This window comes from Homo sapiens, chromosome X (assembly GCF_000001405.40).
Source record: "Homo sapiens chromosome X, GRCh38.p14 Primary Assembly".
NCBI classification, from domain to species: domain Eukaryota; kingdom Metazoa; phylum Chordata; class Mammalia; order Primates; family Hominidae; genus Homo; species Homo sapiens.
In genome coordinates, this window is record NC_000023.11 from 75,195,407 (window position 1) to 75,220,537 (window position 25,131).

Below are 25,131 nucleotides of genomic sequence, written 5' to 3' on the forward strand. Positions count from 1 at the left end.
CAGTTCCCATAGGGCTAAAGTCTCCTAGGGGAGCAATGTAAGGTTTGGGGGGTGGGCATCCCTGGCAGTGCTCCTCATAGATGCTCTCTCACCAAACCCTCAGAGCTCTGCACCAGCCAGAGTTCTGCCCCTGCCACTTCTCTAAGCAGTTCTCACTGCCAGCTGAAGTGTCCATGAAGGTCGTGGGGTCTCCTGCTGCCAGTAATCCAGAGGCCTATGGCGAGAAAAAGTTGCTCCTTGCCTGCTCAATTCACCCCTTCCCCAGGAGTCACTGGGTACCAGGAATGAGTCCTGGTGTGCAGTAACCCCGTTCAGGGTTCCCAGCTTCCTCCCCTTTCAGCCCAGGATCTGTGTCTTCCCTCCACCCACTTTCAGTGTCTTCCTCTGAAGATCTGCTAGGAGTGCACCAGTCTTCCCAATGTCCTAGTCCCTTGGTGCTAGATGTTCCTCCTGGCTGAGTCTAGTTGGCTATCTCTATCAAGTTTTAAAATTAACCTTGGAGTGATGGAAAAAACTTAAAAAATAAAATACAATTAGGATGTGGGTCCTCCAACTTTGTTCTTTTTCAAGATTGTTTTGGCTATTCTGTGTCCCTTGCAATTCCATGTATATTTTAGGATTAGCTTTTCCGTACTGAAAAAAAAAGTCGTTGGAATTTTGATAAGCACTGTATTAAGTCTGTGGATCAATCTGTAGAATATTACCAGCTTAACAATGTTAATACTTCCAATCCACGAATATGAGTTTTTGAAATTTTGTTATTAAAAACTTTTTTTAAAGAGACAGTCTCACTCTGTTGCCCGGGCTGGAGTGCAGTGGTGCGATCATAGCTCACTGCAGCTTTGAACTCCTGGGCTCAAGTGATCCTCCTGCCTCAGCCTCCTGAGTACCTGGGACTATAGGCACATGCTACCACACCCAGGTAAATGAGTTTTTAATACATGTTTTGATAATGAGTAAATTTAATTATCTGAGTATTACAAATGAGAAGTCTGAGACGAATTATTGATCAAAAGCTCAACTGTTATATCCCTGTTTCTAGCAATACAGTGGTCTAGGACTGATTAGATATCTTGACAAACTTTCTTGTTGAAAACTAATAATAATGGATAGATGCATCAGTGAGTTCAAAATATATTAAGAAATAATAATAGAAAGAGGCCGAGTTGGTGGCTCACTCCTGTAATCCCAGCACTTTGGAAGGCCAAGGCAGGTGGATCACTTGAGGCCAGGAGTTCAAGACCAGCCTGGCCAACATGGCAAAGCCTTGTTTCTACTAAAAATACACAAATTAGCTGGGCACAGTGGCACGTGCTTATAATCCCAGCCACTCGGGAGGCTGAGGCATGAGAATCACTTGAACTTGGGAGGTGGAGGTTGCACTGAGCCGAGATCGTGCCACTGCACTCCAGCCTGGGTGACAAAGTGAGACTCTTTCTCAAAAAAAGATAATAATAATAATAATAATAAAAGTGATGAATGAAACTAAGGGAGGAAAGTAAAATACTGATCTAGCTTTTGCAATGAGAGAATTTGCTGTTTCTAGTAAATCGGGCTTCGTTTTTTGCAATCCGTTGGGATGTTAGGGGATGAGAGAAAAAGTGAAGTGACCCATTGTAGATTTGAGATTCCACTGGTGATACCTTCAAGAACAGTGAATTAGAAATACACCCACCTCCCTCCCCACTCACTGAACAGGGGAAATTGTCTGAAATATTGGCACAAGGTGAAAAAGAAAAAATAATCCTCCTTAAGACTTCTTAAGCAAAGGCCAGCAACCACCTCCAAATTTACAATACTTAATCATTTAAAGTACCTGAAACCAAGAATTTTGGTTTGCGGTGGCAAACACAAATTTCTCTGGAGAAACCCGCTTCATCCTATGACTTAAAGAATCAACACAGATTAAGCTCCAAGAATTATGAATTCACAGTTAAAAGTTACAAAACATTTAAATACACAAGACAACATGAATAAAAGTTATCAGAAAATACAGGCAACAGAATCATATTCGTGAGGATTTTAGATATTAGAATGATCAAACACAGAATTTGAAATGATAATATTTACAATGTTTAAAAAATAAAACAATTGAAATATGAATAAAGATCTAGGGAGTATAAGACATATTCAAGATGTTTCCAAAAGTAATCCAAAAAATTTCCAGAAATAAAACTGCAATAATTAAAACATATATCAGACATAAGACTTGTATCCTATATAAACACTTCTAAAACTAGATAATAAATGGGAAATATCCTCCAATAATGAATGGACAAGAAACTTAACAGATGCTCTATAGAAGCCCAATAAGACATGAAAAAGTGATCAAAATAATTAGTCTTCAGAGAAAAGCAAATGAAAAACATAATGAGATATGAATTAATATACACTAGACTGGCTAAAATTGAAAAGACTAAAAATACCAAGTACTGGAAAGGAGCTGGAGCCACCAAAACCTTCACACATTTCTGATTGGAATGTTAGATGGTTCAAGAACTTTGAAGTGAATTTTGGCAGTTTCTTATAAAGGCAAGCATAAACCTACTTTGATCCAGCAATTGCACTCCTAGGTATTTATCAAAAAGAAATGACAACAAAAAATATGTCCACTAAAAGTTTTAGAAGACTGCTTACAGCAGCTTCATTCATAATAGCTCCAAATTGGAAACACATCAAATGTTTATCAACAGGAGAATGCATAAACTGCATAAAAAAATTGTGGTATATTCACACAATAAAATACTACCCAGCTATAGAAGGGACTGAATTACTGATATTTAAACAATATGGAGGCATCTCCCAGACGTTATGTTGAGTGAAAGAAGCTAGACATACTGTATTATACCATTTTATATGGAGTTCTAAAGCTGCCAGTGAGAGACTGGAAAGTAGCATAAGGAAGATTTCTGGGGATATGAAAATGTCAAATAGCTCGATAGGGGTATAAGTTGCATGGTATTTTCCAAAAGTATGCAATTAAGATTAGTGTAATTCAGTGCAGGTACATTTTACTTTAAAATATCTATGAAAGTAATAATCAAATTGAGGGTGGGGCAGGGAGCCAGTATAGATAAAACAAGAATGGCAGAAGTATCAAAGTTGTTATAGCTGGGTGATAAGTTTATGGGCATCCATTTTACTATTTTGTTTACTTTGTACACATTTAAAATTTTTCATAATAAAAAGCTTTACAATTTTATTAGAACTGGTAGCACTTTTGATAGAGAAAAATTGATAAACTAGAAGATAAACCTGAAGAAATGATAAAAATGCAGAACATATGCACATATGTTCTATCATATATGCAGATAGGTGAGCACCCAGTATGTGGTTTTTAGTTTATATCACTGAAAGAGGAACTGAAGAGTGTAGGAAAGACAGTCTGGAATCACCAATGCCACCCCAACCCCATCCCCCAGCAGCAGCTCTGTGGCACGAAGAGAGAATCTCTGCACTTGGGAGAAGGAGAGCGCAGTGACTATGAGATTGTATTGAACCTAGTGGTGCCCTATCACAGCAGAAAGCAAAACAGGGCTAAACTCAGCCCTAGCCTGTCCACAGAAGAAGCATATAGGCCAGCCCTGCCTTGAGGGGATTCACACATCCCAGTGATCAGAACTGGATTTACAGCAAACCTCACCACCATGGGCTAAAGTGCTCTGGGGCTCTAAATAAACTTGAAAGGCAGTCTGTGCCACAAGGACTGCAACTCCTAGGCAAGTCCTAGTGCTGAGCTAGGCTTATAGCCAGAGGACACGGTGGGCATGCAACATACTGATACACAAGCCAGGGAGGCTAAGAAAGTGCTTGCACCAGCTGTCCGCAAACCCCAGGCTGCACAGCTTGTGGCTCCAAAAGAGACCCCTTCCTTCCACTTGAGGAGAGAAGGAAGAGTAAAGATGACTTTGTCTTGCATCTTAGATATCCAAGTAGGGTAAGCCATCAGTCAGAGTCATGAGGCCCCCATTCGAAGCCCTAGCTCCTGGATATATCTAGATATATCCTGGGACAGAAGGGAACATGATGCTTTGAAGGGAAAGACCCAGTCCTGGCAGGACTCATCACCTGTTGACTAAAGAGCCCTTGGTCACTGAATAATCAGCAGCAATACTCAGATAGTACACTGTGGGCCTTCGGTGAGACTCTGAGACTTGCTTGCTGCAGGGGAGACTCAGCACATTCCCAGCTGTGGTAACTACAGGGAAAGACTCCTTCTGGTTGAGAAAAACAGAGGGAAAATAAAGGGGACTTTGTCTTGCACTGCAGGTACCAGCTCAGCCACAGGGGTGTAGAGCACCAAGTGGGCTCTTGGGGTCCGCAATTCTTTAAAAAAAATTTTTTTTTATTATTATACTTTAAGTTCTGAGATACATGGGCAGAATGTGCAGGTTTGTTACATAGGTATACACGTGCCATAATGGTTTGCTGCACCCTTCAACCCGTCACCAACAGTGTAAAAGCGTTCCTATTTCTCCACATCCTCCCCAGCATCTGTTGTTTTCATCTGCATTTCTCTAGTGACCAGTGATGATTAGCTTTTTGTCATGTTTGTTGGCTGCATAAATGTCTTCTTTTGAGAAGTGTCTGTTCATATCTTTCCACCTCCCAAACTTGTTTCTCCTCTTTATTCCCTACTTTTACTAATGGTGGTTCAACCAGTCACTCAGATGAAATTCCTTGTTTTCTTCTTTTCCCTTACCAGCAACACTAACTTTCCTATTGCGTTCTTTCTGCTTCCACAGTATCTTTATGATCTAGTTCCTTTCTTCCATCTCCACTGCTATTGTCCTAGGCCCGATAATCATTATCTCTCATCTGGACTTTTGTAATAGCTTCTTCCTGCTTCTAGTCTTGTTATCCTGTGCTACAAGGTACATATTGCTGTCAGAATTATTCTTTTTTGGCTGGGCATGGTGGCTCTTGCCTGTAATCCCAGCACTTTGGGAGGCCAAGACGAGAGGAGCACTTGAGGTCTGGAGTTTGAGACCAGCCTGGCCAACATGGTGAAACCTGGTCTCTACCAAAAAATGCAAAAGTTAGCCAGGCATGGTGGTGGAGACTGTAGTCCCAGCTACTCAGGAGACTGAGGCATGAGAATCACTTGAACCCAAGAGCCGGAGATTGCAGTGAGCCAAGATTGCGTCACCGCACCCCAGCCTTGGCAACAGAGTGAGACCCTGTCTCAAAAAGAAAATTATTCTTTATAAACAGAGTTTGAGTCACATCATTCTTTTTTTTTTCTTCCAAAACTCTGCATATAGGCCAGGAGCATTGGCTTATGCCTGTAATCGCAGCACTTTGGGAGGCTGAGGCGGGCGGATTGCCAGAGCCCAGCCTAGAAAACATAGTGAGTTCCTGTCTCTACAATAGATAAAAAACAAAAAAATTAGCCAGATGTGGTGGCTAATGCCTGTAGTTCTAGCTACTCAGCAGGCACTGAGGTGGGAGGATTGCTTGAGCCTGGGAGATCAAGGCTGCAGTGAGCTATGATCATTCCGCTGCACTCCAGCCTGGGTGAAATAGTGAGACCCTGTTTCACAAACAAAACAAACAAACAAAAAACCAATCTGCCTATAGATTTAAGTCCAAATATTTAACATGCTTTTCAAGTGTTCCATGATCTGGCCTTGCTCGAGTCATCATCTACAAGATCCTCCACTTATCCTAAATTCCTGTAATTTCTATTTGGAGCTAGGTCAGTCCATTTCACATCTTCTGACCTTTGTCTCCTGCAGTTCTTAAGCCTGTAATGTCTTTGCATTTGTTCTCTCAGTCACTAAAATGCTTACCCTTTAGAACCCAACTAAAATATCAGCTTTTTAATAAAGTCAATCCTATTTGCTTCACTAGAAAGTAATTTGTTCCTCTCTTTCTGCTCCCCTAGCAGACTACTTGGACTTCTTTTATGGCACCTGTTTCAAAATTCCTTATATCATAATTATTTGTGTTTATGACTGTGAACTTCAATAAACTGCAAGTTTCTTGAAGACAGAAATAGTGTTGTATTGACTGCTGTATTCCTGGAGGTATCATAGTGCCTGGAACATTGAGGATGCTCAAGGAAAGTGGAAAGTGGAATCTCTGTTGCCCATCTTCAGGATCTACCACCAGAAAATATACCATATCGTTGACTTTGTTTATAAGTGGAAAGTCATAACCAGAGCACTCTATGAATATTGTATTAAAGAAGGCTATGCAGGAAAAAACCTAATCACAATATGGAAAAAGCAAGGCTATGAGAACTTGTGCTGGCTGCTGTGCCTTCAGACATGGAACACCAATTTTGGGACAAACTGCAATTGCTGTGTTCCTAAAACAAAGATAGAAGTGGGCTGCATCATTGAGTGCATGCACTGTGGCTGCCAGGGCTGCTCTAGCTGAGGTCCTTGGGCCCTGACCCCTCTCCACCCTGGACTCTGGACTTTGCACGTTCCTGCCTGTTGTCGTCCCATTTCCTGGGAACAACTCTTCTCCTAGAGCAATGCCCTAGGCCTTAGTTGGAGCATGGTCTCTATAGGTGAAGGCTTTGCTCTCCATCAGCTGTGATTTGTAAAAATAAAAACTTTAAACCTCTTGGGGGGAAAACAACTGTTAAAAGAAGTTCTTCAGAAAAATGAAAATTATAGGTTAGGCACTTGGATTCACATAACAAAAGGAAGACCATGGGAAAATCAATAAGTGAAGGTAAAATTAAAACTTTTATTTTCTTACACTTAATCTAACAGTTAAGTTTGCTAAAAATAATATCAATATGTTCATATATATGTTTAAATATATATGTTTATATATAAGTGAAATGAATGACAGCAATTATAGAAGGGAAGGGAGGGAGATACTAAGATTCTTTTATTATTATAAGGAACTCACACTATCCATGAAGTGGTACAGTGTTACTTGACAGTGAACTTGTGCCCGGCGTGCTGGCTCATGCCTGTAATTCTAGCACTTTGGGAGTCTAAGGCAAGAGGATCCCTTTAGCCCAGGATTTGGAGACACAGCCTGGACAGCATAGAGGGACCCTGTCTCTATTTTAAAAAAGAAAAGAAAATGAACTTGGATTAGTTTTAAATCTATATTGCAAACTCAATTGAATAAATAAAAAAGGAGAAAAAAATAATTATAACTGATATGTTTTATGTCAGAGAAAATGGAATCATGTAAAATTCTCAGTTAAAACCACAAGATGCAAAAGAACATGGAAGATAAAAATAGAAGCAAAAAACAAGGGCAACAAATAGAAAACAGCAGCAAACATTGTAGATATTAGCCCAATCATATCAATAATCACTTTAAGTGGTCACTTTGGCAGCACATATACTAAAATTGGAAAGATACAGAGAAGATTAGCATGTCCATTGTGCAAGGATGACATGCAAATTTGTGAAGCATTCCATATTTTCATGGAAAGGAAAAACTGGTACCAGCCACTGAAAAAACACATTAAAGTACAAAGACCAATGACACTATGAAGAGACTGTATCAACTAGTTTGCAAAATAACCAGCTAGCATCATGATGACAGGATCAAATTTACACATAACAATAACCTTAAATGTAAATGGACTGAATGCCCCAATTAAAAGACTCAGACTGGCAAACTGGATAAAAAGTCAAGACCCATCAGTGTACTGTATTCAAGAGACCCATCTCACATGCAAAGACACATAGCCTCAAAATAAAGGGATGAAGAAAAATTAACCAAGCAAATGGAAAGCAGAAAAAAGCAGGGGTTGCAATCCTAGTTTCTGACAAAACAGACTTTAAACCAACAAAGATCAAAAAAGACAAAGAAGGGCCTTACATAATGGTAAAGGAATCAATTCAGCAAGAAGAGCTGACAATCCTAAATATATAAACACCCAATACAGGAGCACCCAGATTCATAAAACAAGTTCTTAGAGACCTACAAAGAGACTCAGACTCCCATACAATAATAGTCGGAGACTTTAACACCCCATTGTCAATATTAGACAGATCAATGAGACAGAAAATTAACAAGGATATTCAGGACTTGAACTCAGCTCTGGATCAGGTGGACCATGTTAGGGTTTGAAGAGAAGGCAAGGGTTAAAGACACACACACACACACACACACACACACACACACTCACACACACACACACACACACACACACGGTAGCTTAACAGCAAATGCAGGCTTTATGTCCAGCGTAAGGCCTACAGAAGTGGGAGACCAGCTTAATGCCAGTGCCACCACTGTTTACAGGCTTGGACAATTTATAGGCCTGGATGGGCAGGGTCTGGGGGGGCATGGGCTGCTGCCTGGAAAATGTTGATAATGTGTTCCCATGATGAGGCTGTTCTGGCCCTTGTTCTGTTGGAATGTGGTGTTTCTTGCACTTTTTCCCAGCAGAATATGATAAGAGGCAGGCTGTTTCTCATGGCCCAAATATCCAGTGGGATGTTTCACTTTGACCAAGGTCTGCAAAATGGTGGGGGGACTTACAAAATGGTGCAGTTTGGACTAATATTCTTGCCTTCTATTTTAATATAAAAGGAAGAGGGGTGTTGTTGATTATCTGGTTGCTTCCTGCTGAATAGGGGCCCTGTAATCAGGGTTTGGGTTTTTAAGCAGTGGGTGTCCGACTTCAGAGTTGTTTTCCTGGAGGCACTGATACTGGACTTGGTGGAGAAGGATGGTATCAATGTGTTTCTGGGTGGTTGCCTGGACAAGGGAGTTCAGCCTTCGGGAGATAAAGCAGGATATGAAGATGAGTATACATGGGCCAATTATTAGTATTAGGAGGAGGAAGATTAGGGACCCTAAGAAAGGGGCAACCTGCTATCCCGGTGCTGAGTGCAGCAGAGATGTTTAGTTCTGCTAACAGGGGAATTAAGTGTACAGGCTGTTGGGTATATGTGGAGGAGGAGGAAATAGGGATTACTAAAGGAACCTGAATGGTTTGGTTGTTAGGCAAAATGTTAATGTTTGGAGATTAAAACACCAGAGTGTATGTTCTTAACTCACCTGCCAGCAGGCAAAGATAAGCTTTTTTGCCACACAGGAAAAAAGACCAGGGGTTGACAGGCAAGAGTTGTAAGTGAAGGCAGTGAGCCATGAGAAGATGGGGGTTGAATCCTGGACAAACTTTTTGTCCCAACTTTTTTGTTTTTCTAGGTTGAATAGCTGTTAACAAGGGTAACCCCTGTGAGGGCCTGATAGGGAATGTTGGTGGGGGTGGAGGTGAAGGTTGTTTGGTTTTGGAGAGAGATAGAGAAATGGATTTTTGTTAACTAATAGCCATTGCGGTTCTGATAGGGCAGAAGGATATAGGTTGCAGTTGAGAGAACTGTTTGTGCATTTTTTCCAAGGAGAGCCCTTGATTTGGCTACACGGAGAGCTGCGCCAGCAGAGAGGGGAGGGGTTAGTAAGAGGTGTTTAACAGTTGGAAGAAAGAGGGGAGTGTGACTGATTTAAGAGGCAATGTGTGAGGTTGACGAAGGGGGTCCAGCTCTCAGAGGTTGTGGGTGGGGACTTAGAGTATCCCACGGACAAAGAGGACACAAGGAGAAAAAGGAGATTTGAGTAGGAGTGAAATTTTGGAAGGTGTCCTGCAGCCATAGATCCTGGATTAATGTGAAGAATGTGTGTGGACTGCCTAGGGATGTGGGGAGGGAATACCAGGAAAGATCTGAAACAAGGTATAAGAGAAGATTTGGGCCGGGCGCGGTGGCTCACGCCTGTAATCCCAGCACTTTGGGAGGCCGAGGCGGGTGGATCATGAGGTCAGGAGATCGAGACCATCCTGGCTAACAAGGTGAAACCCCGTCTCTACTAAAAATACAAAAAATTAGCCGGGCGCGGTGGCGGGCGCCTGTAGTCCCGGCTACTCGGGAGGCTGAGGCAGGAGAATGGCGTGAACCCGGGAAGCGGAACTTGCAGTGAGCCGAGATTGCGCCACTGCAGTCTGCAGTCCGCAGTCCGGCCTGGGCGACAGAGCGAGACTCCGTCTCAAAAAAAAAAAAAAAAAAAAAAAAAAAAAAGAGAAGATTTGAAATTAGAGGCAGAGAGTGTTATGGACCAGGGCCTTCTGGATTGGCAACTTCTGGAACTCTTGTTAAGCACAATGAGGTTGGTCCTGTGAAGAAGGAAGAATATTTTGGGGGTGAGAAAATTTCTGGATGTGGATCTTGTGCTCTTTTTAGCTTGGAATGGTGTATCCAGTGTGGAAGGGACATTAGCTTTTGCCACTGTGGGAGTAGTTAAGATAACCTGGTTAGGACCCATCCATTTAGGTTGGAGAGGTTAGGAGGAGCAGCCTGCAATCCAGATGCAGCTCTCTGGTTGTAGGGACAGGGAGGAGTGTTTGGAGGATGGACTTTTAGACTGGGGCAAGTAAGCATTTGCGTGCTGTCTTATTAGATGTTGAGTGAGGTGTAATGCCAGCCAAGTATCCTGTACATAAGGGGGAGCAGATACAGGGAGATTCTGGAGGATAAAATGGCATTTGTACATGAGTTTAAATGGGCTTAGGCTGAGGGGCTTTTGGGGAATGGCTCGCAAACGCATGAGGGCCAATGGGAGAAGTGAAGTCCAGACCATGTTAACCTCTAAGGAGAGTTTGGTTAGTTGTTGTTTTAAAAGGGCATTGGCCCATTTAATTTTACCTAAAGATTGGGTGGAGTAAGGAATATGAAAAGCTCATTTAATGTTTACAGCCTTTGCCAGCTGTTGGTTAACCTGTGAAACAAATGTTGACCCGTTGTCTACTGGATGGAAGAGGGGAGTTTAAACTGGGGGATAATATGGGGTGAGGAGAATAGAAGTGACAGTGTGTGCCTTTTCGGTGGTGGTAGGGAAAGCTTCTATCCATCCAGAGAATGTATCTACTATTGTTAGAAGGTACCAAACTTGTTTTACGGGGTGCATGTTGGTGAAGTCGATCTGCCAGTGCTGCCCTGCCAGGTGCCCTCGGGCCTGATGTGTGGGGAAAGGAGGTCATTTGATAATTTCCTGAGGGTAAGTTTGAGTGCAAAGGGGACATGCCTTAGTAATATCTTTGAGATTGGCAGCCATGGTGGGAGAATCTATACAAGTTTTTAAGAGCTGGAGTAGGGGCCAATAACCGGCATAAAAATGGTTGTGCACATATGAAAGTACAGAAGGTTTCTGGGACTTGTGAAAAAATTTTATCATTGAGGTAGAACTATTTTCCTTCCTGAACCGTGCCAGCCTGGGTGAGTGAGGTTTGTTTTGCCTGGGTATATACAGGGAGTATGCTGGGAAAAATGGGCAATAATGATTTTTTTTTTGAGATGGAGTCTTGCTCTGTTGCCCAGACTGGAGTGCAGTGGCATGATTTTGGCTCACTGCAACCTCCACCTCCTGGGTTCATGCCATTCTCCTGTCTCAGCCTCCCACGTAGCTGGGACTACAGGTGCCCACCACCATGCCTGGCTAATTTTTTGTATTTTTAGTAGAGATGGGGTTTCACCGTGTTAGCTAGGATGGTCTCGATCTCCTGACCTCGTGATCTGCCCGCCTTGGCCTCCCAAAGTGTTGAGATTACAGGCGTGAGCCACCACACTTGGCCAATGATGGGGTTTTAAGAGCTGCCTGCTGGGCTGCCAAATTTGCTAAAACCTTTTCCTTGGTTATGGCATTTGTAGCCTTTTGGTATCCCTTACAATGGATAATGGCAGCCTGTAGTTGTAGTTTAGCTGCCTCCAGCAGCCTGTGTATGAGTTTGCCATTTTCTATGGGTGTTCCTTTTGTAGTTAGAAAACCCCTTTCCTGTCAGATTAAGGTGTGAGAGTGTAGGATGTGAAATGCTTATTTGGAATTGATGTAAATGTTAACACTCCCTTTAGTAGGATGAGGGACCTGGTTAGGGCAACTATCTTTGCCTGTTTACAGGTAGTTCTGCCTGTTGAGAGGTAATTCTGCCTGTTGAGAGGTATTATGGGGTGAAAGAGCATTGGATTCTTGGAGTTTATTTTCAGCAATGATAGTATAGCCATGGCTCCCTAAAAGAGCTTCCATTAATGAACCATGTAGGTGTTTCCCTGCAAAGGAGCTTCCGAGTTGTTTTGGAAGTGGGAGGAAAGGGAGTTCAAGAGGTTCAGGCAGGAGCAATAGAGCTCAGAGCTGGAAGTGTTTACAGGTAGGAGGGTGGCTAGCTTGAGAGCTTTACATCTCTGGAAGGTGATTAGAGGGTTTCCTATGAATAAGGCATGCACCTGCTGTAAACGGGATGATGGGAGGTATAGAAGAGATTGGTAGCTTATGAAGTTCTGCAAGTTATGGGAAGATGCCATAGTAATGTGTTGGTAGAGAGTGAGTTTCTGTGCCTCTGAGGCCAGCAATGTGACCGCACCCAATATTTTTAGGCAGGGTGGCCAGCCTTGGATGACAAAGTCCAGTTGTTTTGAGAGGTATGCAGTGGCTTGTGGGGCATTGCCATATGTTTGGCAGAGTAGTCCAAGAGCAAGGCCTCTGTCACAATGTATATACAGAGGAAAGAGCTTGGTGTGGTTGGGCAGTCTCAGTACTGGGACCATTTTAGGCACTTTTTCATTTTTTAAAGTGAGAGTTGATGGGGCAAGCTAGGTTCAGGGGTTCTAGGATGGGCCCATGTGAGGCCATGTAGAGCAGCTTGGTCAGCAAGTTGAAGTTGGAAATCCACAGTCAGAAGTATCCCACAAGGCCCAAGAAGGAGAGGAGGTCCTTTGAAGGGGCATGTCCCAAATTAGCTCCTTGCATTGGGTTGGGATGGCTGGAGAGTTAGGGGTTAGGACAAGCCCAAGGTAAGTAATCTGGGTTTGGGCTACCTTGAGTCTTTGTGGGTGAGACCAAATATCCTCAGCTATGGAGGAAGTTTAAAAGCTAAGTGGTGTGTTGCATGGACAGATGGAGGGGCTACAGAGAAGGAGGTTATTGATTATTGGAGGAGGGTGCTAGGAGCAAGGGGAAGTTCAGCCTAGTCCTTGGTGAGGGCCTGTCCAAATAGGTGGGTGCTATCTCAGAACCCCTGTGGAAGTACAGTCCATATTAGTTGGATGGATGTTTGAGTATCAGGATCTGACTAAGTGAAACCAAAAAGACTTTGGGAAGCTAGATTTAAGGGAATAGTGAAAAAGGCATCATTTAAATCCAATATAGAGAAGTGTGTGGTAGATGGGGGAATATGGGAGAGTAGAGCATATGGCTTGGGGACCACCAGATGGATTGGCACCACCACCTGGTTTACAACTCAGAGATCCTGGATAAAGTGGTAAGACCCATCTGTCTTTTTGACAGCCACGATAGGGGTGTTGTGGGAAGAGTTTACAGGCTTGAGAATTTGAGCTTGTAAAAGTTTACAGGTAATAGGTTTGAGGCCCCTGAGGCTGGCTGGGTTAAGGGGATATTGAGACTGATGAAGAAAAATGGAGGGGTTTTGGAGGGTTATTTTAACTGGGATGTGATGTGTGGCTATTGTGGGTTTAGAAACATTCCAAACTTCAGGATTAACAGAAAGTAACAGAGTGGATAATGAGGATGAGGGGGAGGAGAGGGAAGCATCTGGGCTGCAGAGTAAAATAAAATGGGTAGAATTGCCGGAGGCAAATTGTATGGAGGCGTGGAATTTACTTAATCTGTCCTGCCTCAAGATAGGAGTAGGGCACTGAGGATTAACCAGGAAGGAGTAGGTAAAGGGAGTGTTAAATAGGTTGCATAATAGAGGACCAGTCTATTTGTGCCTAGAGGGGAGTTTATCAATTCCCATAATAGAGATAGAAGAACTAAGAGGGGTTCCAGAATATTCTGGTAAAACCGAGTAACTAGCCCCCATATCTAATAGGAAAGATATGGGCTTACCAGAGACCGACAGCATTACCCTGGGTTCCGAGGTGGTAGTGGTGATGGGCCAATGGATTCCAGGCCCTGTCAGTCTTCAGTTAGAGGTGATGAAGCGGGAGGAAGAGTTTGGCTGAGCACAGTCCGACTTCCGGTGTTGTTTCTTTTTTTCTTTTTTTTTGAGACAGAGTTTCGCTCTTGTCGCCCAGGCTGGTGTGCAATGGCATGATCTCAGCTCACTGCAACTTCTGCCTCCTGGGTTCAAGTGATTCTCCTGCCTCAGCCTCCCAAGTAGCTGGGATACAGGCATCCGCCACCATGCCCAGCTAATTTTTGTATTTTTATTAGAGACGGGGTTTCACCATGTTGGCCAGACTGGTCTCAAATTCCTGACCTCAGGTGATCCACCTGCCTTGGCCTCCCAAAGTGCTGGAATTACAGGCATGAGCTACTGTTCCTGGCCCAGTGTTTCTTGATACCACAGATAGGGTAAGGTTTTGAGGGTGGCCTGGGATTAGGGCAGGCTTTTGCCCAGTGATCCTGTTGGCCACACTAAAAACAGGCTTCTGGCAGTGACTGTTGCAAAGTTGAGGACTTCTGTATGCATTGGGAACCCTGTTGAATGACAGCTGCCAGCATCTGGTATTTAGCCTGGTCTCTTTTTAGTTTTTGGGTTTTTAGTTCTTCCTCTCTATTGTTAAAGACCTTAAAGGCCACTTTGATTAAGTCTCTTTGGGAGGTTTGAGGGCTATTCTCCAATTTTAAAAATTTCTTTCGGATGTGTGGGGCTGACTGGGAGATGAAGTATAAATGAAGGTAGATTCTGCCCTTATTGGTATTAGGGCTTAAGGTGGTATATTTAGTCATGGCCTTTGAAAGGGAGGAGAGGAAAAGAGCAGGGGCAGCTTTATTTATGACAGCTAGGAGGCTTGATATTATATGGCCTTGTTGCTGTCTCTGCAGAAGTTGCCTGATAATCCCAATTGGGGTTAGTTTTGGGGACAGCCAGGATCCCTATTGGGTTATGAGCAACATCTTGTTGGTAGAGGTTGTTTGCATGGGCCTGGGCATTCATCCAGATGTGTCCCCTGTCCTCCAGGGTGAGGGTGGAGGAGAGGATTACATATATGTCATGCCAGGTAAGGTTATAAGATTGAGTGACATACAGAAATTCCTTGTGGAAAGATGTGAGATCCTTGGAAAAGGAGCCAATTATCTTTTTAAGATGGGAGAGGATGGCTAGGGAGAAGGGAACATGAGCTCAGATTATGCCTTTGACCCTTGCCACCTCCTGCAAGGAAAGGACTTTGGAAGGCCTTTGGATGTGTGCCTGGTTTTCAGGAAAAGGGGGTTGGGTGTGAGAGCTGATTTGCAGTGGAGAAGGAAAGGGGGACGGAGGGCAAAAGTAAGGGGGTGGAGGAGCCGCAGCCAAAGGAGAATAAGGAGGGGATGGTGGTGGGAGGGGGACCGAGGGAGGGGGATTGTTTGCCAGGTTGAAATTAGAGGAGGGATTGTCCAAAGGAGGAGGCATTTTTGCGGGTTTTTTGTTGAGGAGGAGGATTTGAAAAGGTGAACATGATTGGTAGAGAGAGAGAGCTGCAAACAGAGATAAGCAAAGCATCTCACGTCATTTACCATTGCGTTGGAGGAAGTTTTTTAGATTATGTTGAATTTGGAAATTGAATGTTTTGTTTTTTGGCCATTGACTATTGTTGTCCAGGTTACACTAGGGCTAGGCAATATAAGAGAGGAAAGTAAGGCGTTCTGTTTTAATGGAGTCCACCAAGCCCTGGGCTTGGAGGATCCAGATGAGACATTTGGGAGGAGTGAATAAGGTATTCAGTTTTAATGGAGTCCACTAAGCCCTGGGCTGGGAGGTTCCAGATGAGACACCCGAGAGTGGTGTCTTGAGGAGGTTTGAGGAGACTTGCCCCATACTGGTGGCTGGAAGGGTGAGAAATTTAGAAGAGGGGAGTGAGTACCCCAGAGGGGAGTGAATACTCCAAAGGAAAGTGAGTACCCTGGAGAGGAGTGAGTACCCGAATTCCTCCGGGAGAAGGAACATAGGATAGCTGAGCTGGAGCATCCCCACAGCTCTTTGCAGTCCCCCAGAGGCCGGAGTGGCTGGAGTGGTGAGCATTCAAGGGCACCCCTGAGAAGGCAGGCCGTGGTCACCTGGTGACAGAGGAGACCTCTCACCCAGAGTTGGGATTTTCTGGTGAACCATCAGAAATAGAGAGGAATTCGGAAAGGAGGAAAAGGGAGACTCACCCACTAATTGGAGATTGGTGTTGGATGTGATGTCCAGCAATGGGGGTGATCCTTGTCAGAGCCACCCAGAAAAGGGAAAGAAAGAAAAAGAGGATGGAGAGTTTGATCAGGATCTGGAGGTCAGCCCAGGGCTGGAGAAGATGAGAAAATGAGGGAAGCAGGGCTAGGAACAAGGAGTCCACTCAGGATCTGGAAGCAGTCCTGGGTCTAGTTTTTGCTGCTTGCTGCTTTCCAGGTTGCAAGAGAAGACTTACCTGTTTAGAACCCAATCCCCATCCCAGGTTTTGGCACCAAAATGTTAGGTTTTGAAGGGAAGTTGAGAGTTAAAGAAAGACACACACACAGAGAGAGGGCAGCTTAACTGCAATACCAGTATATCGCAAAAACCTGTTAAGGTGGGGGACCAGCTTAATGCCAGAGCCCACCGTGGCTTATAGGCTTGGGCAATTCATAGGTCTGAGTGGGAGGGGACTGTGGGGGCATGGCTTGCTGCCTGGAAAAATGTTGATAACCTGTTCATAGGATGAGGTGGTTCTGGCCCTTGTTCTGGCAGAATGTGGTGTTCCTTGCACTTTCTCTCAGCAGAATATGATAAGAAGCAGGCTGTTTCTCATAGCCCAAACTACCATGGAATGTTTCACTTTGATCAAGATCTGCAAAATGGCAGGCGGCTTACAAAATGATGCAATTTGGACTAACAAACCTGCTAGATATCTACAGAACTCTTTATCCAAAAACCACAGAATATACATTCTTATCAGTGCCGCATGGCACTTACTCTAAAATCGATCACATAATTGGAAGTAAAACACTCCTCAGCTAATGCAAAGGAACTGAAATAATAATAAACAGTCTCTCAGACCACAGGGCAATCAAATTATAACTCAAGATTAAGAAACTCACTCAAAACCACACAACTACATGAAAATTGAACAGCCTGCTCCTGAACTGGGTAAATAATGAAATAAAGGCAGAAATCAAGAAGTTCTTTGAAACAAATGAGAACAAAGAGACAACATACCAGCACTATTCACAATAGGGAAGACATGGAATCAACCCAAAGGCCCATCAATGATAGACTGGATAAAGAAAATGTGGTACATACACACCACGGAATACTATGTAGCCTTAAAAAAGAATGAGATCATGTCCTTTGCAGGGACATGGATGAAGCTGGAAGCCATTATCCTCAGCAAACTAACACAGGAACAGAAAACCAAACACTGCATATTCTCACTCATATGTGGGAGCTGAACAATAAGAACACATGGACACAGGGAGGGGAACAACACACACTGGGGCCTGTCAGGGGTGTGGGGGAGGGAGAACATCAGGGTAAATAGCTAATGTATGCAGGGCTTAATACTTAGGTGATGGGTTGTTAGGTGCAGCAAACCAGCATGGCACACATTTACCTATGTAACAAACATGCATATCCTGCACATGTATCATCTGACCTTAAAATAAAACAATATAAAATAAAAAATAAAGTAGTTGGCTAGGTTTACATTTTGCAATATAGACATTGCGGAATTTAGACATATAGGAAATCAAGATACTGGGCACATTCTTTGTAAAGTGAAATCAGAAAGTCTCTGGTTATAAAGAGTGAATGGGATTAAGCAGGTGTTTTATAGGCAGTCTCCTCACACTGAATTGCAGCTGTGTGCTATTTGGAATGCAGTCTGACTTAATAACTCACACATGCCAGTAACATACATGATAGAGCCAAAGTACTGTAGTTAAATAATGGATTTTATAAACATTAAATGGTCTTTTAGCATCTGAATTTATTGCGAGAGTCAAGTAAGGGGTTATATATGCGTGCATTTTGGTCTGAATCTTGAACTTCTGTTAAACATTGATATAAATGTGTCTCTTGAGACTGGTCTATAACAGATTTAAAAAAATGATTACTTTTTCTCAGGCTTTAAAAATCCTATTTTTGGCAACAGAATCTATGAGTTTTATTAAACAAAGTAAAAGTTTAGACCTTTACAAATAATCACTTTAAATGTTAATGGTCTAAATACACCAATTAAAAGACAGAAATTGTCAGAGGGAGTCAAGACGCAATGCCCAAACATATGTTTTCTACAAGGAATCCACGTTAAATATAAACACACATATAGATAAAAAGATAAATGGATGGAGAATGACATACCATGTTGATACTAATAAAAAGAAAGTGGTAGTAGCTGTATTAATTTAAGACAAAGCAGACTTCAGAGCAAAAAAAAAGTATCAGGATAAAGAGGTTTACTACATAATGATGAGGGCCAATTATACAACAGGGCTAACAATCCTTAATGTGTATGCACCTAACGATAGCATCAAAATACATGAGGCAAAAAATGATAAAACTGTAAAAGGGAATAGATACATTCACTATTATAGTTGGAGACTTTAACATGTCTTTTTCAGTAATGGACAGATTTGACAGGCAGAAAATTAATAAGGACCTAGAGGAAATCAATATCACCATTAATCAAATAGATTTAATTAACACCAATTAAAGGGCACTTCATCAAACAACAGTAGATTATACATTGTTCTCAAGCTCACACAAAACATTCGCCAAGACTGATGACATTCTGGGCCACAAAACACCTTAACAAATTTGTATGGATATGAATCATACAATGTCTGCTCTCAAACCACAATGGAATTAAATGAGAAGTTAATAACAGAAAGATAGCTGGAAAATCCCAAAATACTTGAAAATCAAACAACAGACTTCTAAATAACACACGAGCCAAAGAGACTCAATGTAAATGTTTATTGATAGATGAATGGATAAAGAAAATGTAGTATACACATACAATGAAATATTATTCAGACTTATGAAAGAAGGAAATCCTGCCATTTGTGAAATATGGATGAGTGTGGAGGATAATAGGCTAAGTGAAATTAGCCAAACACACAAGGACAAATACTACATAATACCACCTATGTGATGAATCTAAAATAGTCAAACTCATAGCAGCAGAGAGTGGAATAGTTGTTGAAGGGAACATGATGAGGTGGAATCAAAGTTATTAGACAAAGAATACAATTTTCAGTTACATAAGTTGAATAAGTCCTAGGGATATATTGTACAGCATAGAGCCTATGGTTAATAATACTGTATTGTGTACTTAAAATTTTAGCTAGGTGTGGTGGCTCATGCCTGTAATTTCAACACTTTGAGAGGCTGAGGCAGGAGGATCACTTGAGTCCAGCAGTTTGAGACCAGCCTGGGAAACATAGCAAGACCTTGGTTCTACAAAAAATAAAAAATAAATTAGCTCAGTGTGGCAGTGTGCACTTGCAGTTCCAGCTCCTCAGGAGACTGAGATGGGAGGATTGGTTGAACCCAGGAGTTCAAGGCTGCAGTGAGCCATGATTGTGCCACTGCCCTCAAGCCTGGGTGAAAGAGTAAGGCTTTGTCTCAAAAAAATTTGCCAAGAAGGTAGATCTTATATTAAGTATTCTCAACACACACACACACACACACACACACACACACACACACACACAAATAAGGCAGGAGAAAACTTTTGAAAGTGACAGGTAGTTTTATGGCATAGATTGTGCTGATAGTTTCATGAATGTATACTTATCTCCAAATAACATGGTTTTGTTTAAAGAAGATATCTTTTTTTTAGAAGAAGAAATCTTAATAGAAATTTAAAAATATTATGAGCTAATTGAAAATGAAATGACAGCTGATCCAAATTTGTGGCATGCAGTGAAAGCAGTGCTGAGAGGGAAATTTATAGTACTGCATGCACATATGAGAAAAGAAAAAAGACACAAAATCAATAATCTTAAGCTTACACCTTAAGAAACTAGAAAAAAGGAAGCAAATTAAATCCAAAGTTAGCAGAAGAAAAGAAATAATACAGATCACATCAGAAATCAATGAAATTGACAACAGGATATTAATAAAGAGAATCAGCAAAACGAAAAGCTGGTTCTTTGAAAAGATCAATAAAATTGATAAGCCTGTAGCCAGGCTAAGAAAGAAAGTGAGAAGACACAAATTAATAATATCAGAAATGAAAGAGGGGACATCACTAAAGATCCTATGGACATTAAAAGGGTAATAAAGAAATATTATGAACAACTCTATATTCATTATTTGATAACCTGGGTGACCCAATTTCTTAAAAGGCACAATCTAACAAAACTCATCCAAAATAAATATATAATTTGACTAGCCCTATATCCATTACAGATATTAAAATTACCTATTGGCTACTATGCTCACTCCCTGGTGACAGGATCCATACCACAAACCTCAGCTTCATGCAATATAACCATGTGACAAATCTGCACACGTACTTCCTGTATCTGAAATAAAAGTTGAAATTTAAAGAAATACTAAAAATAATTTTAAAATATATTAAATAAATATCAATAACCTCCCCAAACCAAAAGTACCAGGTCCAGTTACATTCACTGGGGAATTCTATAAACATTTAAGGAAGAAATAATACCAATTATTTGTAATATTTTTCAGAAGATAAAAGCAGAGATAATTTCTAATTCTTATTATAAAGCCAGCATTACCCTAATACCAAAATCAAAGACATTACAAGAAAAGAAAACTATAGACCAATATTTTTGATGAACATAAATGCAAAAATTCTCAATAAAACATTAACACATCAAATCTAACAATACAGAAAAATAATTATATGCCACAATCAAGTGGTAATTTTCCCAGGCATGCAAAGTTAGTTCAACATTTGAAAATCAATTAATGTAATAAATCAGTAAGCTAAAGAAGAAAAATCACATAATCATATTCAATAAGCACAGAAAAAAATATTTGACAAAATTCAACTCCCATGATAACCAGTCTCAGCAAATTCAGAATAGAAGGGAACTTCTTCAACTTCATAAGAATATGTACACCAAATGCACAGTTAACATCATACTTACCAGTGAGAAACAAGAACTTTTCCCTGTAAGATCAGGAACAAAGCAAGAATGGCTGGATAATTCTCTGAAGTCTACTCGTGGGTTGTGGTGCTGGTGGTAGCAGCCAGAAAATATAGAAGATAAAAGCATTAATTACATGAAATAGTATATTCTGTATTGCACAGGAGTATTTTTGGTTTTGAATGAAAGCTGTGCCCTGGAAAGGATAGCATTCATTTTTTAAGGTTTTGAGAAACACTGGATGACTAGTTTGGATATACATTTTGGCACATTCTGTTTGACCATCCAGCTGGAGAATAATATACTAAGCTTAAGCAAACTTTACCCTAGAGGAGAAGAAATAAGTAATTTTTTTCTTTTTTTGAGACGGAGTCTCGCTCTGTCTCCCAGGCTGGAGTGCAGCGGCGCAATCTCGGCTCACTGCAAGCTCCGCCTCCTGGGTTCACGCCATTCTCCTGCCTCAGCCTCTTGAGTAGCTGGGACTACAGGCGCCCGCCACCATGCCCGGCTAATTTTTTGTGTTTTTAGTAGAGACGGGGTTTCACCGTGTTAGCCAGGATGGTCTCGATCTCCTGACCTCATGATCCGCCTGCCTCGGCCTCCCAAAGTGCTGGGTTACAGGCGTGAGCCACTGCGCCTGGCCGAGAAATAAGTATTTTCAAAAAAAAGAATTAGGACATGGTGGCCTTGGTCTGAGAAGACCTGGTGTATGAGTCAGTGGAGCATTTTAGGGACATTGTTGTAGTCATGAGTGGAGTCTTGATGGGCAGGAAAAGTTAATTTTGGTTAAGGTATTGAGCAGCATAAAAAGAGTGTTGTTACGTAGCGTGATGCCTCCAGTTTTGTTCTTTTGGTTTAGGATTGACTTGGCGATGCGGGCTCTTTTTTGGTTCCATATGAACTTTAAAGTAGTTTTTTCCAATTCTGTGAAGAAAGTCATTGGTAGCTTGATGGGGATGGCATTGAATCTACAAATTACCTTGGGCAGTATGGCCATTTTCATGATATTGATTCTTCGTACCCATGAGCATGGAATGTTCTTCCATTTGTTTGTATCCTCTTTTATTTCCTTGAGCAGTGGTTTGTAGTTCTCCTTGAAGAGGTCCTTCACGTCCCTTGTAAGTTAGATTCCTAGTTATTTTATTCTCTTTGAAGCAATTGTGAATGGGAGTTCACTCCTGATTTGGCTCTCTGTTTGTCTGTTGTTGGTGTATAAGAATGCTTGTGATTTTTGTACATTGATTTTCCAAAACAGCATGGTACTGGTACCAAAACAGAGATATAGATCAATGGAACAGAACAGAGCCCTCAGAAATAACGCCGCATATCTGCAACTATCTGATCTTTGACAAACCTGACAAAAACAAGCAATGGGGAAAGGATTCCCTATTTAATAAATGGTGCTGGGAAAACTGGCTAGCCAGATGTAGAAAGCTGAAACTGGATCCCTTCCTTACACCTTATACAAAAATTAATTCAAGATGGATTAAAGACTTAAACGTTAGATCTAAAACCATAAAAACCCTAGAAGAAAACCTAGGCATTACCATTCAGGACATAGGCATGGGCAAGGACTTCATGTCTAAAACACCAAAAGCAATGGCAACAAAAGCCAAAATTGACAAGTGGGATCTAATTAAACTAAAGAGCTTCTGCACAGCAAAAGAAACTACCATCAGAGTGAACAGGCAGCCTACAAAATGGGAGAAAATTTTCACAACCTACTCATCTGACAAAGGACTAATATCCAGAATCTACAATGAACTCAAACAAATTTACAAGAAAAAAACAAACAACCCCATCAAAAAGTGGGTGAAGGACATGAACAGACACTTCTCAAAAGAAGACATTTATGCAGCCAAAAAACACATGAAAAAATGGTCACCATCACTGGCCATCAGAGAAATGCAAATCAAAACCACAATGAGATACCATCTCACACCAGTTAGAGTGGCAATCATTAAAAAGTCAGGAAACAACAGGTGCTGGAGAGGATGTGGAGAAACAGGAACACTTTTACACTGTTGGTGGGACTGTAAACTAGTTCAACCATTGTGGAAGTCAGTGTGGCGATTCCTCAGGGATCTAGAACTGGAAATACCATTTGACCCAGCCATCCCATTACTGGGTATATACCCAAAGGACTATAAATCATGCTGCTATAAAGACACATGCACACGTATGTTTATTGCGGCACTATTCACAATAGCAAAGACTTGGAACCAACCCAAATGTCCAACAATGATAGACTGGATTAAGAAAATGTGGCACATATACACCATGGAATACTATGCAGCCATAAAAAATGATGAGTTCATGTCCTTTGTAGGGACATGGATGAAATTGGAAATCATCATTCTCAGTAAACTATTGCAAGAACAAAAAACCAAACACCGCATATTCTCACTGATAGGTGGGAATTGAACAATGAGAACACATGGACACAGGAAGGGGAACGTCACACTCTGGGGACTGTTGTGGGGTGGGGGAACGGGGGAGGGATAGCTTTAGGAGATATACCTAATGCTAAATAATGAGTTAATGGGTGCAGCACACCGGCATGACACATGTATACATATGTAACTAACCTGCACATTGTGCACATGTACCCTAAAACTTAAAGTATAATAATAATAAAATTTAAAAAAAAAGAGTGTTGTTACTAAAATGGAGGGAGTTTATGATAAAACACTTGGATATTGTGGCACAGGCCTTCAAGTATTGACAGGTCTTCTGCCTTCTAATTGAATTCTCTGCCTAACAGCTCATTTCATTTGCCTCTGAATGGAGTTCAATTTAATTCATGATCAATAAGTAGTAAGTAGTCCATAAGGATCTCGGAAAGACAAAGTAATTGAAAGGCAAGGCTTCATGCCATGGACACAGCTGGATTTAAATTTCCCCAGTATGAAATATAAGAAGGTAAAGAGGTGTGAATTCCATACTGTATTAGGCTAAATGCAAAAACAGAAGGTTTTTTCTGCAAGGATCTTGATGCTATCATTCTTAGATGTAGACAACAAAACTCTTTTGTGTGGTTTCAGTAACAGAGAGATAATAAGTGGGCTTCATCAAGAGTTTTTGTTGTAATTCTAAACTATGGAATGCTTTACTCCAAACTATAATAAATATAATAAATAAATATAAGACTAAACAATGATACCACTGGAATTCAATACATTCTTCCTCTTTCCAATGACACAACATTTTAATGAACAGGAAAGCAAAAAACAGATAGGGGCCAATTCAGTGAGAGGATCTAAGAATTGTAAATATATGGCACCCAACACTGGAGCACCCAGATATATAAAGCCATTATTATTAGAGTTAAAGAGAAATGCAGACCCCAATACAATAATAGCTGGAGAATTCAACATCCCACTTTCAGCATTGGACAGATCTTCCAGATAAAAAAGTCAACAAAAAACACCAGACTTAATCTGCACTATAATATAACATAAATAATGTGTATTCTGCAGTCATTGGATGAAGTGTTCTGTAAATATTGATTAGATCCATTTGTTCTATAGTGAATATCAAGTCTGATATTTCTTTGTTGATTTTCAGCCTGGATGATCTGTCTAATGCTGAAAGTGGAGTGTTGAAGACTCTAACGATCATTGTTTTTGGGGTCTCTCTCTTTAGCTCTAACAATATGTGCTTTATATATGTGGGTGCTCCAGTATTGAGTGCATATATATTTACCATGTTATATATTCTTGCTGAAATGATCTCTTTATCATTATACAGTGACCTTCTTTGTCTCTTCTTATATCTTTTGTTTGAAATCTATTTTTTTTCTGATATAACTACACTTGTTCTTTTTTGGTTTCTATTAGTATAAAATATCATTTTTCATCCTTTTATTTTCAGTCTATATGTGTCTTTATAGGTGAAATGTGTCTCTTGTAGGCAACAGATCAATGCATCTTGATTTTTAATCCATTCAGCCACTCTTTCTCATTTGATTACAGAATTTAGTCCATCTACATTCAATGTTATTATCGATAAATAAGGACTTACTCTTGCCATTTATTTATTGTTTTCTGGTTGTTTTGTGATCTTCCCTTCCTTCTTTCCTTCCTTCCTGTAATCCTTTTAGTGGGGGTGATTTTCTTTGATGGTATG

At 41.2% G+C, this 25,131-nt stretch overlaps 1 protein-coding gene, 1 long non-coding RNA gene and 2 pseudogenes across 3 annotated transcripts in view; 3 read left to right on the plus strand and 1 right to left on the minus strand.

Annotated features, from left to right (window-relative positions):
• The window catches only part of UPRT (uracil phosphoribosyltransferase homolog), a 148,529-nt gene that overhangs the window by 39,038 nt on the left and 84,360 nt on the right, over positions 1-25,131 (plus strand). The window lies entirely within an intron of this gene.
• Positions 6,064-6,569, plus strand: BUD31P2 (BUD31 homolog pseudogene 2; annotated as a pseudogene).
• On the plus strand, positions 7,297-7,403 carry RNU6-562P (RNA, U6 small nuclear 562, pseudogene; annotated as a pseudogene).
• Positions 20,307-25,131, minus strand: part of LOC124905200 (uncharacterized) — a 58,324-nt gene continuing 53,499 nt past the window's right edge. For both annotated transcript variants that reach the window (XR_007068269.1, XR_007068268.1), the window contains exons 3-4: positions 21,004-21,093; positions 20,307-20,409 (exon numbers count right to left, since the gene is read on the minus strand). This is a non-coding gene — a long non-coding RNA (uncharacterized LOC124905200). The remainder of the gene's footprint in view (positions 20,410-21,003; positions 21,094-25,131) is intronic.